Source organism: Homo sapiens, chromosome 18, assembly GCF_000001405.40.
Source record: "Homo sapiens chromosome 18, GRCh38.p14 Primary Assembly".
NCBI lineage: Eukaryota > Metazoa > Chordata > Mammalia > Primates > Hominidae > Homo > Homo sapiens.
The window spans coordinates 2,797,315-2,813,525 of NC_000018.10; the positions used below are offsets into that span (position 1 = coordinate 2,797,315).

A 16,211-nucleotide genomic window follows, 5' to 3' on the forward strand; every position below is an offset into this window, starting at 1 on the left:
TAAATGTTAGTAAAGTCATCCCACAGAAGGATATCATGGTACTGGTGTTTCTCTTTTATTATTTCAAAAGGTTTAATTGTAGACTCTACCTGAATATGTTTTCTCATATCAACCGTAGAGGAATTCCCTTGAAACTATGGTGTTTGGAATTGGTATTCTTTGCCATATTCATCTGCGTATTCTACATTTATTCAGTAAAGATTTGAAATCTCACTCTGTGTTGTATGTTGCTGGGTGAATAAAACTGACATGGTTCTTGCCTCCATTGGAATTCTGTAATTCTATGCAGTAGAGGGACAATTTAAAAAGTAAACTTTTTTCTATTTGTAAGGAATTACAGTGGCTTATGCCTATAATCCCAGCACTTTGGGAGGCCGAGGCAGGTGGATCACCTGAGATCAGGAGTTGGAGACCAGCCTGGCCAACATGGCAAAACCCTGTCTCTACTAAAAATAAGCCAGTCATGGTGGCGCACGCCTGTAATCCCAGCTACTCGGGAGGCTGAGGCAGGAGAATTGCTTGAACCCAAGAAGCGGAGGTTGCAGTGAGCTGAGATCGCACCATTGCACTCCAGTCCGGGCAACAAGAGCATAACTCCGTCTCAAAAAAAAAGAAAGAAAATAGGGAATGAAAAAATGATGAAGTAATAGAAAATAATAGGGAAACAATATCAGTTGTCTGGAGAGATGCATTGAAACAGAGAACTGAAGGATGGGAAGGAACCAGCCATATAGGGATTGGTTTCAGTCAGAGGTTGGGAAGGAGGCATGATGCTCTAAGAAAATAACAGGTGTGGCATGTTTGAGGAACTGAAAAGATGTTAGTGTCTAAGGCATGGTATGGTATGCAAGAGGGAGAGGACCAAACTATTGTCGGACATAGAGGCAGAGGCCAGATTATGAAACTCCTCCCTCATCATGTTGCAAAAAAAATCTATTTTAAGTTCATTGATATCTCTTGAGTATCACACATGTAGGCATGTGAATGATGTGTTCATGGGCATGAGGTGTATACAGACTATTAAGCTGATCATTCAAAGTGTGTTGGGGCAGTTTAGCATCAGAAAGAAAGACTCTTTGCAGTGGATTTAGACATGTAACTTTTAGAAATTATGAGTTCAAAATGACGCAAAAATCCCTTATTGGTCATCATTGCTGGTTGGTAGGGCACCTGCTTGTGACTGTGAAAATTTATGTATTTATATAGAAAAGACATGTGTATGAACTATCTTCCAGGTTTCCAAATAGTTACAGAAAGTTCTTCTTTGTAAAAGTTATTCTTTGTAGAAAGTTCTTATATTGGTTAAATAATATGGTGTCTGGGATATACTCTAAAATACTCCAGGAAAATAAAGTGGCAGAGGATATCAAAATAAGACTTGGCAAAATGTTTTCATTACTAAAGCTTGAAATAGGAAATTCACTGTATTATTCCCTCTGCTTTTATATAGGTTTGCCATAATTTTTTAAAGAAGTATTTTATGAACAGTGGGATTATTTTTTAGAGAGACCAGAACCCACTTCCCACTAAGGAAATTCCTCAAGGTGCAGTTCTAGGCTAAGATGTAAGGTACATGTTTTTGTGCCACAGTCTCAGCACTAAATTTGCCCTAGACCTTCCAGTTACTACAGCGCTACTGTGGACATTGATTTGGAACTTGTTAATTAAGATTTTGTAGCAATTCAGAGGGAGTTTATGTTTTAGTTTATAATATTGTTAGTAGTATAATGATCATCGGTCATATGTGTATATATCAAATGGTATAGATTTACAGTGTTGTACTATACGTGAGTCACATATATAATTTTAAATTCTCTAGAAGCCATATTAAAAAGGAAAAAAGGAACAGTGAGATTAATTTTAATAATAGATATTATTGAACCCAATATCCAAAATATTTCTACATGTAAACAACGTTAAAAATGATTAATGAGCTATTTTACATTCTTTTTTTTTAAATACAAAGTCTTCACAATTCAGAAGACAGCAAATCTCAATTAGGACTAGCTACGTTGCAAGTACTCTGGAGCCACACACATGGCTGGTGGCTACCGTTTTGGACTGCACAGGTATAGAAAGAGCTGATGATCGTAAAATCTTGTATCCTATGCATCCTTACCCCTATTCCATCCTTCAGAGGCAACCTTTGTTTTAACTGTTAATTTTTAGTTACTCTATTGTTGCCTCCACTTTTAAAAGTTACATTATTATGACTATGTAAATATTGTTCAGGCAAATATTGTACTAAGCAAACTTGTGTGCTAGAATTACACTTCCTTCTCTATATGGGTCTAATGTCATGACTCTTACTTAGGCCACCAGTTAGTGCTCCAAACATCAGGCTCAAATAAATCTTCCTTACTCTGTTATTCTTAAAATCACGTGAAGTGTTATTCCAATTGTTACTAAGACTCTTTCTTGTTAATTTTTCTGGAGTTTTTAATTGCCACCTTTTTTTTTCTTTCCCTATGTATCTTAATCACATCTTCTTCCTCCTGTACCAGTGACTAGTAACTGTGCAGGCCTCCTGTAAATCTGCCATCCTGGGTCTTCCTTAGTTACTCTCTTGGATTATATCCATTATTTATTGGATTCCATGTCTTTCTCTCTCTTATAAATTCCTTAGAAAAAATGTGTAGAAAGATAACTTGGAGCCCTTCTATGTCCGAAAAATGTCTTCATTTTGCGTTCACGTTTGATTGAGGTTTTCTGGAGATAACAGGATAGAAACAAGGCTAGAATATACTAGAGGTGAAGGGATTGGGAAATAGTCTAGAAATAATAGGAGACAGTCTGCCTGATTTAGCCCCAGAAACACTTTGGATTCAGAGTCAGTTAGAACAAAAGAGTGAGAAGTCCAGCAACTCTCCCTGTTTGGGAGTCCTGTCTCCCAAACAGGGAGAGTGGCAAATAAAAAGGACGGAACAGAATGGAAAAGGAAAGGAAGCCACAGCCTAGAATGTACCAGATTTTCAACCCAAACTTTGAAAGCTTTGTTTCCTTGTCAACAGGCATGAAAAGATGCCACTACAAAGTTAGATAACAATGGAAATGAATTAAATGTTGGTATATTGGCTTTTGGTAGTTGCTGGCACACTAGGACCTAATGCTGGCCTCTGGGAACTAAAAGGCTGATAACTGGCTCTGCACCTGCACATTTATCTATTTTGATTTTAATTCAACAATTTTTACTTTATTTATTTTGTAGAGATGGGGTCTTGCTGTGTTGACCAGGCTGGTCTCAAGCTCCTGGGCTTAAGCTACTCTCCTGCCGCGGCCTCCCAAAGTACTGAGATTACAGGCCTGAGTCACCATGCTCGGCCCAACATCCACATGTTTAAAGCAAAACCTGTGGACCCATGACGTTGATTTGCCCTATCCCAGTTATAGTTACCATCAAGTCCCACTCGGAGAAGAGACTTGTTGGTAAAACAGTTCTATTTTTATAATAGTAGAAGAAATTCCAGCTAGCAATGTAATCCTCTTTCTTAAATGTAATTGTACAACTAACAGTCATCACACATATGAGGGTAGCCAGCAACGTGAGAGACAAAATTCAAGATTAAGTTCCAAAATCAACATGGAGGACAATTTAGTAAAGAGACTAGACCTCTTTTATAAAATTATAATTACTATGTAGCAGAAAGGAGCCAGGACAAGAATGAATAAACAGATTACAAATATTGTTGCTGAAATAAAAATGTTCAATAGGAGGATTAAAGTCCAAAAAGAAAACTTCCCCAATACAAAAAGAGATAGAAGACATAGAGAACCAATTCAGACTATTAGGAATCTAGAAAGAAGAAAATGGAGAAGGAAATGCTATCATGTGGAAGAGGATTTCCTAGGGATGAATAAAATTCATTGAATGCCCAGCAACAGTGACTGACAAAATACTCACTAAGATACTTCATAGTAATACTGTATCATATCAAGGAGAGGGAGAAAGAGTGTCAGTGATTTTAGAGAAGCCAAAGAACCATATTTTCAGTGCAGCCTTTAGTACATGGGGAGACACACACACAAAGCTATCATTTGTTTAGCTTTGTGATGGCGGTATTAGAAGTTTAGGTGGAAAATTTGGTGTATTCTGGACTGCGACTTTCTCCTCTTTGCATCCTGATTATATTCATGAAATTTGTTAAAATCACTATGAGGGATTTTCTCATCCTCAGTCTTTTCCTATTCTCTATAAATCTTTAATAAATCTCACACTCTCAAGAGGTCAGAGCATTTGAAATAAAAATCTTAACAGTATTGAATATTGGTATATTTCATCCATACAATCAGGAACAAATTTAATAGTAGGAAAGGAAATAGGTACATTATATGTGTTTCTGTATATTTATGTTTATGTTTTTATTTACATATGTATACTGAATATATATTTGTTACTGCTTATAGATCACATACTATGTTTCATCAACTTTAAGATTTCATTAACTATAAAAATGTCATTTTATGAAACATTAAAGAAAAATATTGCAAATTAACTCATGACCTTATAAAGTACATCTGGATTTCAGAGATGTTAAGTGTGAAAAAATATCTTAGAATTCATTAGATATGCTTAGCAATATATGATACTATGCAGTAGATTCCATTGTTTTCTTGAATAGAGGCTTCAGTTTTCTAAATAATTTTCCACTTATAAAGATTAAAAATTAGTTCTGTTAAAAATATGTATCATCTTCTATTTGGAGATAGTTCAGGGAACTATTAGAAAATATTTACATATACCTGAATTTTTAAAATCTGTAGCTATATATGTCAAGGTGCTCACTGTGTTCATCTCTACATGAATGAGATTATGAATATTAAATGTTTTATTTTGCTTGTCTTTGTTACTTTTCTGTAATAAGCATTATAATTCCTGTTCTTAAAATAATAAGTTCATTTAAGGAAAAGGGGGTGAAAGGAAAAATCTGCAGAATTTAGGTCTGAGATAATACCATTTCAAAGCACTGTGATACAAATTACTTATATATGTTATATACTGTGTGTGTGTTAACTACTTTTATTTGGGGGCTTGTTTTGCATACATGTGAAGGAAATGATTATATATAAGGATTTAATTAAATCTGTTTATACCAAGAATTATATTTAAAAGAATATGGTTTCATTGGATATTTAAGCATTCAGGTGTGATGAGGGAATTCAGGGAAAGGAAACCTTTGGTACATAAAACTTTTTTTTCTTTCCCCTTTGACCAGGATTATAACCAAAACAGATGTATGAGAGGTGACAGAGAGAAGAGGCCATTGGTCTCAGTAAGAATGCCCTGCTTTCTGCATCTCTGTTTCAGAAGACCAAGAGGGTGACTTACCAGACTGAGTATTTCTGGGGACAATACAAGTACCTGGGCATGAATTTCCATTTCGATTCAGATGGGACTGGAAACAACCATTCAATTTTATGAATCTTACTGGACATTATGGATTTACTGGAATTATTCCAGACATTATGCCCTTTGGTTGTCACTACCTTGCAAATGTGTAAGAGGAAAATGTGCTAATGTGGCAGTGACTGTAAAACTGGCACATGGCATTTATTAATCCTGAAGAAAAGTACATGTACTATTTTTCAGTATAAATATAATGAACATGTCAGAACTATTTCTTGAAAACCTTTTTATTACTTTTGCGTGAATTTATTTAACAAAGATGTTTTGTCTTTTGTGTAAGGGAGGTTCTAGAGGCTAGATGTTTAATTGTAAATATGTGAGGAAACTCAATGCAGAATTCAGGATAAAAATTTTAAAAGCACAGGTATTTGGGAATTGAAATGTTAAGATACCCAGAACAACATTAAATCAATGAGTGAACTTGTGACAGTGGTAGCATTTCAAATTTCAAAAGACTTATCCTGTGTGTGTGTGTGTGTGTATATATATATATATATATAAATATATATATATAAAATATTCAGCAGCACCAAGTTTTATAACTATTGTTTGTTTGACTTTATTAATACTAGAATATGTAGTCTCAGCCTTAATTTTACATTTACATTATTTTGTAATTTTTTATTACTATTTTTAAGGGGTTAAAGAGAACATACATTCTCACATTAGTGTACTTTCTGGTAGAAAGTTGCTGCAAAAACATTTGAAATGTATATTAACCTAATGTATGTCATATATATGTCTTTGTGTAAGTTCAAGACTATTGATCTGTGAAGTTATTTTGTAAGGACATACATTTGGTAAGTAAGTTTGTGTCCCAGGAAATGTATGTGTTTTTAAACCCTTTCTAAATATGCAGGCCATTAATAAATAAGATTGTTTCTTCCCTACTGAATAGATAAGTGTTTTTCTTTTTTAAAATTGGAAGCTTCATAAAAGTTATCTTGTTAAAAAACGATGATGATGTTAACCTATCTATCTTTATAATTGGAAATTATTTAAACTGTTTGTTGTTACAGAAGAAACAAAATGGTAATTACAGAATTAGCTGTGGGGAAGATTGGCTCCCATGGTACTACAGGTTGAGTATCCCTTATTCAAAATGGTTGGGACCTGAAGTGTTTTGGATTTTGGTTTTTTGTGGGGTTTTTAAATTATTATTTTGGAATATTTGCATTATATTTACCAATTTAGCATCCCTAATCCAAAAATCTTTCATTAGAAATTGGAAATGCTTCAATGAGCATTTCCCTTATGTGTCATATCTGCGCTCAAATGTTTTGAATTTTGGAACATTTCTTGTTTCTGACTTTTAGATTAGGGATACTCACCCCGTACCAATATTTGGAGTCCTTAGACATTAGATTATATGAAAATGATTGATTGATAGGTAAGAAAGGTTAAAGAGAAATGACTTTTTAGGAACTAGACTTGAACGTATAATTAATATGTGGAACTAGTTTGCTTTTATAATTCATTGTATCAAGAAGGAGTCATGTTTTAAATCCAAGGCATTGAGACTATCTAGAAGCAAAAAAGTTGGTTTTAAAAATTCTTTTTATTAGAAGTGTGTTTAAAAACATGTCTTTTTTTCCCTTGAGCGACAGTGGCCTCACTACATTGCCCAGGCTAGTCTTGAACTCCTGGGTTCAAGCAGTCTTCCTGCCTTGGCCTCCTAAGTAGCAGGGATTACAGGCATGCACCCACATGCCAATTTTTATTGCTTAAAATGGCGAGTTCTATGGATATTATCTAGCCCCAAGCCCATATCTGTACACTTTTGTTCATTTTATAATACCAGAAAGAATGTTCTATCAGTAAAAGAAGGTTTTTAAGTATGAATCTCCATTTTTGTGGAGTTTTTCTACCCTGTAAAAATTAACTTTGTGGTTCCCAGTAATTACAGTAAGGAGTTTTTCTATATTTTCACAGTTGGATTTATCTAAGGATATTTCTCAGCATATTAAGGAATCCTTTTCTACATTTGAGCAAATACTGAGGTTCATGTTGTACCAAATAATAATAAATTGCTTTTGTGTTTAATATGTAACACGTAAGAACAATTGAAATTTTCTTCTAAGATTTAATACTAGTCTTTTAGTATAAAGGAATGTAACTGGAGAAAAAAATTAATGCTACAGCCATTTATCCTGTGTTATGTGTTATATAATCTGAAATTTGTCACAATGTTACAATCAGGAAGTTTTTTTTCTGGTTTCTTCTTCCAAAGGAAAATAATAGCCTACTTGTATTTTGAAGTAACTGAAATAAAACTCTCTCCAAGCCTTTTTGCACATTACGTTCATCAGTTTTCATGTGTACATTTGGCCAGGCCTATGGTAAAAATAGGCTCAATTTACTTAACATTTTTATAGGGTTTTTGGTATAAGATTCTTTACAGAGACTAAAATTTGTTGCATATATAACATTCAGATTATTTTAAGTGAAATTGGCTCCTATTGTTAAATATTAGTGCTAAGGAAAGTTCAGTCTTCTAAACTGTCTATACTTTGGCTCTGTGACTTGATTACTTTATAGTCATTATGAAATTGATGGGGTTAATTCCATTGTATTTTTAGTATAGAATTTTCAAATAATACATTTTAGTAAAAAAATTGAATGTTTAATTTTCATACTGTGAAACTGGTGAAAAATATTAAAAACAACCATTTAAAACTTCTGGAAATGGTCCTGAGGACAAATGGCAATGAAGAAACATCTATTCAAGAACATTTACAAAAATTCAGTAAGGAAGATGAGAATCTGTGGTAGTTTGAACCAAGACTGACTACTCACTTCCACCTCCAAGCTCAGCAAGCAGACTAACGCAGCCAAAAACGCTGGGTTCCTTATCCCACCATCTCCCAGCCAGAAATTTTTTTCCCGAAAGGAGCGAGACTGTAGTGATTCTTGTCCTGCCTTCAACTGCCTTTTGCTAGCACTAAGTCCTGGGTCAGTGTGGCCAGGTGAGAGCCGTCTTCTCCCCACCAGGCCACAAAACCTTGAACACATGTGCTGAGATTGCTGGGGCCTTGATAACTCTCTGGCTCGTGAAGTAGGATTCTACCCCAGGAAAAGCAAGCCAAGAGGATCTCAGGCTACTGCCCCCTTCCATTGCACTCAGCTTCTAGAGCTAGAATGCCAACTCAAGCTTGCCATTGTCCCCACCTCTAGCTCCAGATCCCTGGCTCAGAGATTTTTGCCTGCAAATGAGGTAGGATGAAAACAAAACAGGTAGCTCTTAATCTCTTTCCAAAGGAACTGACTTTTAAAAAAAGAGCATGAGAAGTTTAAACTAGAGAGCTCGAGACACACAGCAAAAGAAGTGCAACATAGAGTAATTTATTGTAAAGGAGAAAGAATATTTTGAAAGTTAAGTGCAGGATAGACAGTACACCCTGAGAGAAAGGATTCAGGGCAGGCTGCTTTTAAGGGTGAGACTGCAAAGACTACACTAGTGTAAACAATAGAACAGTAAGCCAGCAATTAGTGGAGTTGAACAACAGGGTATATGGTCAAGAGGAAAAAGTGCGCGAGAGTACGCAGGATTTCTGGGGCATACCAAAAGCTGTGCCTCCCTGAGGAAGAACTTGAGAAACAACGCTGTTGGGATTAGGGAAGGATAGACTTCACTAAAATAATCCATCCAGGCACTAAGCTTAAGCAAATAATAATAACCAAACCAGAGGGAGGTGAACTAGTAGAGTAACTACAGTATGTTATTTAAAATGTCCAGTTTCCAACAAAAATGTATGAGGCATGCAAAGAAACAGTGTGACTCATACACTGGAAATAAAGCAGGCAGCAAAAACTGCCTGTGAGAGTGATCAGATGTCAGATTTAACCAAAAATTAAAGTACCCATTATAAATAAATATATTCACAGAACTAAACAAAAGATTAAAGAAGTAAACATTATGACAGTGTCTCATCAAATAAAGAATATCTCCTAAGCAAACTAACAGGAACAGAAAACCAAATACCGCATGTTCTCACTTATAAGGGGGTGTTCAACATTGAGCACACATGGACATAAACATGGGAACAATAGACACTGTGGACTGCTGGGGTGAGGAGGTGGGAGTGGGTTGAAAAACTACCTATTGGGTACTGTGCTCGCTACCTGGGTGCAATATACCCATGTAACAAACCCACACATGTGTACCCCGTATATCTAAAATAAAAGTTGAAATTATGTGTGTGTGTATATATAATTGAGATATATATATATAGAGAGAGAGAGAAATGTTTAAAGAACCATGTGGCAATTCTGGAGTTAGAAAGTGCAATAACTGAAATTTTAAAATTCACCAGGGGGCTTAACAGTAGGTTTGAACTGGCAGAAGAGAGAATAGGTGAATTTGAAGACAGATTGTAGAGATTATGTAAAAACAGAGAGAAAAGGCAATGAAGAAAATAGAGCCTCAGAGAAATGTGGAACACCATTAAGTGCAGCAATGTGCACTTAATGACACAGAAGGTAGGAAAAATATTCAAATACATAATGGCTGAAAACTATTAGAATACAATAATCTATACATCCAGGAAGCTGAACAAATTTCAAGCAGGATGACCACAAAGAGACCAACAGATAGACACATCAAATTCTGAAAGTCAAAGACAAGGAAAAAATCTTGAAAGCAGCAGGAATAAAAGTATAATACACATCTCTTACAAAGACAGCCCCAATAAGATTAACAGCTTCTCAGCAAAAACAATAGAGACCATATGGCAGTGGGTTATCATTTCAAAGTGCTCTAAGGAAAAACAACTATCAATAATTCCATCCCCAGCAAAGCTATTGTCGAAATGAAGGAAAAATACTTTCCTAGATAAACACAATTCATTGCAAGATAAACAATTCATTGCAACTCCAAAGTTGCAAGCAGGCCCACGTCAGAAGAAACACTAAAGGAAATTCTTCAGGTTGAAAATGAAATGACCAGGCTGGGCACGGTGGCTCACGCCTGTAATCCCAGCACTTTGGGAGGTCGAGGCAGGTGGATCACGAGGTCAGGAGTTCAAGACCAGCCTAACCAACATGGTGAAACTCTGTCTGTACTAAAGATACAAAAAATTAGCTGGGCGTGGTGGCGGGCACCTGTAATCCCACCTACTTGGGAGGCTGAGGCAGGAGAATTGCTTGAACCCAGGAGGCAGAGGTTGCAGTGAGCCGAGATCGCACCATTGCACTCTAGCCTGGGTGACAGGGCAAGACTCTGTCTCAGGAAAAAAACAAAAACAAAAAAAACAGAAACAAACAAAAAAAAAAACAAAATGACCTGAAATGGTCATTTAAATCCACACAAAGGGCACCAGAAAAGGTAGTTATGTAATTGACACTATTAATGCATATTTGTTCTTTTTTTCTTAGTTGATTTGAAATGCAGTTGTATAAAATAATATGTATAAAATATATTGTTGGGCCTATAATATATAAAATGTAATCTGTGCATAATATTTTTGCCAATAACATCACTCAAGTGGGTGGGAGCAAAGCTATAATAGGCTATGTATATGAAGACATGGTTAAGTAAAATGTATTGCTGGGTTTGTAGCATTAATTTGTGTGTATATAACATACCACAAAAAGAGGCAAAAGTAAAGAAAGCTATATAAAAGAAACATTTCTATATATTATTGGAATGAAGCTAGTGTAGTAGTCCATTTTCACACTGCTGATAAAGACATACCCAAGACTGGGCAATTTACAGAAGAAAGGTTTAATTGGACTTACAGTTCCACATGGCTGGGGATGCCTCACAATCATGGCAGAAGACAAGGAGGAGCAAGTCCCATCTTACACCGATGGCAGCAGGCAAAGAGAGAATGAGGAAGACACAAGAGTGAAAACCCCTGATAAAACCATCAGATCTCATGAGACTTATTCACTACCACGAGAACAGTATGGGGGAAACTATGCCCATGATTCAATTATCTCCCACCAGGTCCCTCCCACAACATGTGGGAATTATGGGAGTACAATTCAAGATGAGATATGGGTGGGGTCACAAAGTCAAACCATATCATTCCACCCCTGGCTCCTGCCAAGTCTCATGTCCTCACATTTCAAAACCAATTATGCCTTCCCAACAGTCCCCCAAAGTCGTAATTCATTTAAGCATTAACTCAAAGTCCACAGTCCAAAGTCTCATCTGAGACAAGTCAAGTCCCTTCCACCTATGAGCCTGTAAAATCAAAAGCAAGCTAGTTATTTCCTAAATACAATGGGGATACAGACATTGGGTAAATACAACCATTCCAAATGGGAAAAAAAAGCTAAAACAAAAGGGCTGGCTGGGCATGGTGGCTCACGCATGTAATCCCAGCACTTTGGGAGGCTGAGATGGGCAGATCATGAGGTCAGGAGTTCAAGACCAGCCTGGCCAATATGGTGAAACCCCATCTCTACTAAAAAATACAAAAATTAGCCGGGCATGGTGGCGTGCACCTGTAGTCCCAGCTATTTGGGAGGCTGAGGCAGGAGAATCACTTGAACCCAGGAGGCAGAGGTTGTAGTGAGCCAAGATCATGCCACTGCACTCCAGCCTGGTCAACAGAGTGAGACTCCATCTCAAAAAAAAAAAAAAAAGTGGGGGTGGGGGTAGGGGCTTATAGGGTGCATGCAAGTCTGAAATCCAGCAAGGCAGTCAAATCTTAAAGCTCCAAAATGATCTTCTTTGACTCCATGTCTCACATGCAGGTCACACTGATACAAAAGGTGGGTTCCCATGGTCTTGGGTAGCTCTGCCCTTGTGGCTTTGCAGGGTACAGCCTCCCTCCCAGCTGCTTTCACAGGCTGACATTGACTATCTGTAGCTTTTCCAGGAGCATGGTACAAGCTGTCAGTGGATCTACCATTCTGGGGTCTGAAGGATGCTAGCCCTCTTCTCACAGGTCCACTAGGCAGGGCCCCAGTAGGGACTCTGTGCAGGGGCTCCAACCCCACATTTCCATTCTGCACTGCCCTAGCAGAGGTTCTGCATGAGAGCCCTGCCCCTGCAGCAAACTTTTGCCTGGGTATCCAGGCGTTTCCGTACATCTGAAATCTAGGCAGAGGTTCCCAAACCTCCATTCTTGACTTCTGTGCATGCACAAGTGCAACACCATGTAGAAATTGCCAAGGCTTGGGGCTTGTACCATCTGAAGCCACAGCCCGAGCTCTATGTTGTTTCCATTCAGCCATGGCTGGAGTGACTGGGACACAGGGCACCAAGTCCCTAGGCTGCACACAGCTTGGGGACCCTTGGCCCGGCCCATGAAACCACTTTTTCCTCCTAGGCCTCCGGGCCTGTTATGGGATGGGCTGCCATGAAGACTTCTGACATGCCCTGGAGACATTTTCCCCATTGTCTTGGAGATTAACATTGGGATCCTCATTACTTATGCAAATTTCTAGAGCCAGCTTGAATTTCTCCTCAGAAAATGGAATTTTCTTTTCTATCGCATTGTCAGGCTGCAAGTTTTTCAAACTTTTATGCTGTTTACCTTTTAAAACTGAATGCTTTTAACAGCATCAAAGTCACCTCTTGAATGCTTTGCTGCTTAGAAATTTCTTCTGCCAGATACCCTACATCATCTCTCTCAAGTTCAAAATTCCACAAATCTCTAGGGCAGGGGCAAAATGCTGCCAGTCTCTTTGCTAAAACATAACAAGAGTCATCTTTGCTCCAGTTCCCAATAAGTTCATCTCCATCTGAGACCATCTCAGCCTGGACCTAATTGTCCATACTGCTATCAGCATTTTGGGCAAAGCCATTCAACAAGTTTCTAGGAAGTTCCAAACTTTTCCACATTTTCCTGTGTCTTCTTCTGAGCCCTCCAAACTGTTCCAACCTCTGCCTGTTTGGAACCCAGTTCCAAAGTCACTTCCACATCTTCGGGTATCTTTTCAGCAATGCCCCACTTCCAGTATCAATTTACCATATTAGTCTGTTTTCACACTGCTGATAAAGACATACCTGAGACTGGGCAATTTACAAAAGAAAGAGGTTTAATTGGACTTACAGTTCCATATGGCTGGGGAAGCCTCACAATCATAGCAGAAGGCAAGGAGGAGCAAGTCTCGTCTTACACAGATGGCAGCAGGCAAAGAGAGAACGAGGAAGATGCAAAAGCAGAAGCCCCTGATAAAACCATCAGATGTCATGAGACTTATTCACTACCATGTGAACAGTATGGGGGAAAACACCCCCATGATTCACTTATCTCCCACCAGATCCCTCCCACAACACATGGGAATTATGGGAGTACAATTCAAGATGAGATATGGGTGGGAACACAGAGACAAACCATATCAGCTAGTATAAATTGAAGCCGATTCTAAGTCAAGATGTATATGATAAACCCAAAAGTAGCCATTAAAAAAAATAGTGAAATGATTGTTGTAAAATTAATATACTACATGCTATGGACTGAATTGTGTTTCCCTTCCAAGACATTTATATGTTGAAGCCCTAACCTCCAGTGTGACTGTATGTGGGGATAGAATCTTTAGGAGGGAATTAACGTTAAATGAAGTCACAATGCCAAGGCCCTAATTTGGTAGAACTATGGCCTTATAAGAAGAAATGATTTCTCTTCCTGTCTCTCTTTGGACACAGTGATAAGGCACCTATCTTCAAGCCACAAAGAGAACCCTCACCAGAACCTAACCATGCTGGCACCATGATTTCGGACTTCCTATCTCCAGAACTGTGAGAAAATAAATTTGTTGTTTAAGCCACCTAGTCTATGCTATTTTGTAATGGCAGCTGAGCTGACTAATATGCCTGCAAAAGAAAGCCGTAAAGGAGGAATAGAAGATGAAAAGAAGCATGAGACAGATGGAAAACAAAAAGTAAGATGGCAAACATATATCCAATTTATCAATAATATTAAATGTGAATGGTTTAAATAATCCAGTCAAAAGGCAGAGGTTTGTCATGCTTGATTTTTAAAAAACAAATCCAAGTATATGTTGTCTATAGAAGAGACACTTTAAATTCAAAGACACAAATAGATTAGGAGTAAAAGAATGGAAAAGGATACATTATGCAAACAGCAACCACAGGAAATCAGATGCTAATATGAGACATAATAGACTTTAAAACAAGTGTTATTAAAGAGGAAACTTTTTGGCTTCAGGAAGATATAACAATTAGAAACATATGCACCTAAAAATGGAAAATCAAAATACAAAAGGAAAAACTGACAGAAACGAAGAGAGAAATAGACAATTCAACAATAATAGGTGGAGACGTCAATACCTCCTTTTCAATAATGAAGAGAACAACTAGGCATAAGATGAAAACATAATAGAAGACTCAAGCAGCACTATAAACCAACTAGATTTAACAGACATGTGTAGAACACTCCATCTAACAACAATAATATACATTCTTAAACACACATGGAATATTTTTCAGGGTATGTAAGGCCATAACACTTCAACACATTTACAAGGACGGAAATAATACAAACAAAATATGTTCTCTGCTTACAATACAATAAAATGTGAAAGTAATGAGAAAATTTGGGAAACTCACAAATATGTGGAAATCGAACTATACACTCCTAGATAACCAATGGGCTACAGAAGGAATCAAAAGAAATTCAGAAAGTACTTTGAGACGAGTAAAAGTCAAGGTACAATATACCAAAACTTATGGGATCCAGTTGAAGCAGTGCTTAGAGGCAAATTTGTAGCGGCAAATTTGTAGCTGCAAATGACTATATTAAGAAAGCTAAAAGATCTAAAATCAATAACTTAATATTTCACCTTAAAACACTGGAAAGGAGGAAAACACTAAACCTAAAGTAAGCAGGAAGAAGAAAATAATAAAGATTACAGTGGAAATGAATAGAATGAAATCAAGAACAGAACTGCAATAGAAAAAAAGCAATATAACACAAAGTTGGTTTTTTGAAGCAATAAATCACATTGACAAATCACTAGCTGGTTTGACTAAGGAAAAGAAGAAAGTATACTAGAATGGAGAATATACTAAAATCATAAAAGAAAGGGGGAACATTATTACTGACCTTCCAGAAATAAAATGGATTATAAAGGAATACTATGAACAATTATATATTAACAAATTAGAAAATAGATGAAATGGAAAAATTTCTAGAAAGACAAACTACTGGAATCGACTCAAGAGAAATAGACAATCTGAATTTATCTATAACAAGTGAAGAGATTGAATCAGTAATCAAAAAACTACCTGCAAGGAAAAGCCCAGGCCTAAATGGCTTCACCACTCAATTCTACCAAACATTTGAGGAATTAATACCAGTTCTTCACAAACTCTCCCCAAAAATAGAAAGGAAAACTTTCCATCTCATTCTTTGAGTTCGGTAATACCCTGATAACCAAAACCAGATGAAGATATCACAAGAAAATTACAGACCAATATTTCTTATGAATATGGATGCAAAAATCCTCAATAAAATCCCAGCAAGGCCAGGTGCGGTGGCTCATGCCTGTAATCCCAGCACTATGGAAGGCCAAGGCAGGCAGATCCCAAGGTCAGGAGATCGAGACCATCCTGGCTAACATGGTGAAACCCCATCTCTACTAAAAATACAAAAAAATTAGTCCCAACTACTCGGGAGGCTGAGGCAGGAGAATGGCGTGAACCTGGGAGGCGGAGCTTGCAGTGAGCCCAGATCGTGCCACTGCACTCCAGCCTGGGCGACAGAGCGAGACTCTGTTTCAAAAAAAAAAAAAAAAAACCCAGCAAAATAAATCCAGCAACATATAAAAGGAACTCAGAGCTCAGAATGGGAAGGTAACAGGCATTGCTCAGAAACATGAAAAAACAAGC

General features: G+C 37.2%; 1 protein-coding gene across 5 annotated transcripts in view; it reads left to right on the forward strand.

The window, feature by feature from the left end:
* The window catches only part of SMCHD1 (structural maintenance of chromosomes flexible hinge domain containing 1), a 149,292-nt gene extending 141,589 nt beyond the window's left edge, over positions 1–7,703 (forward strand). For 3 of the 5 annotated variants that reach the window (XM_011525642.2, XM_047437427.1, XM_047437425.1), the window contains 2 exons: positions 1,967–2,069; positions 5,214–7,703. In XM_011525642.2, coding sequence (XP_011523944.1) covers positions 1,967–2,069; positions 5,214–5,321 — 211 coding nt within the window. In that variant the 3' untranslated portion in view covers positions 5,322–7,703. Of the gene's footprint in view, positions 1–1,966; positions 2,070–3,208; positions 3,427–5,213 lie in introns of all 5 variants that reach the window. The other 2 variants (XR_001753172.2, NM_015295.3) reach the window with 2 other exon arrangements.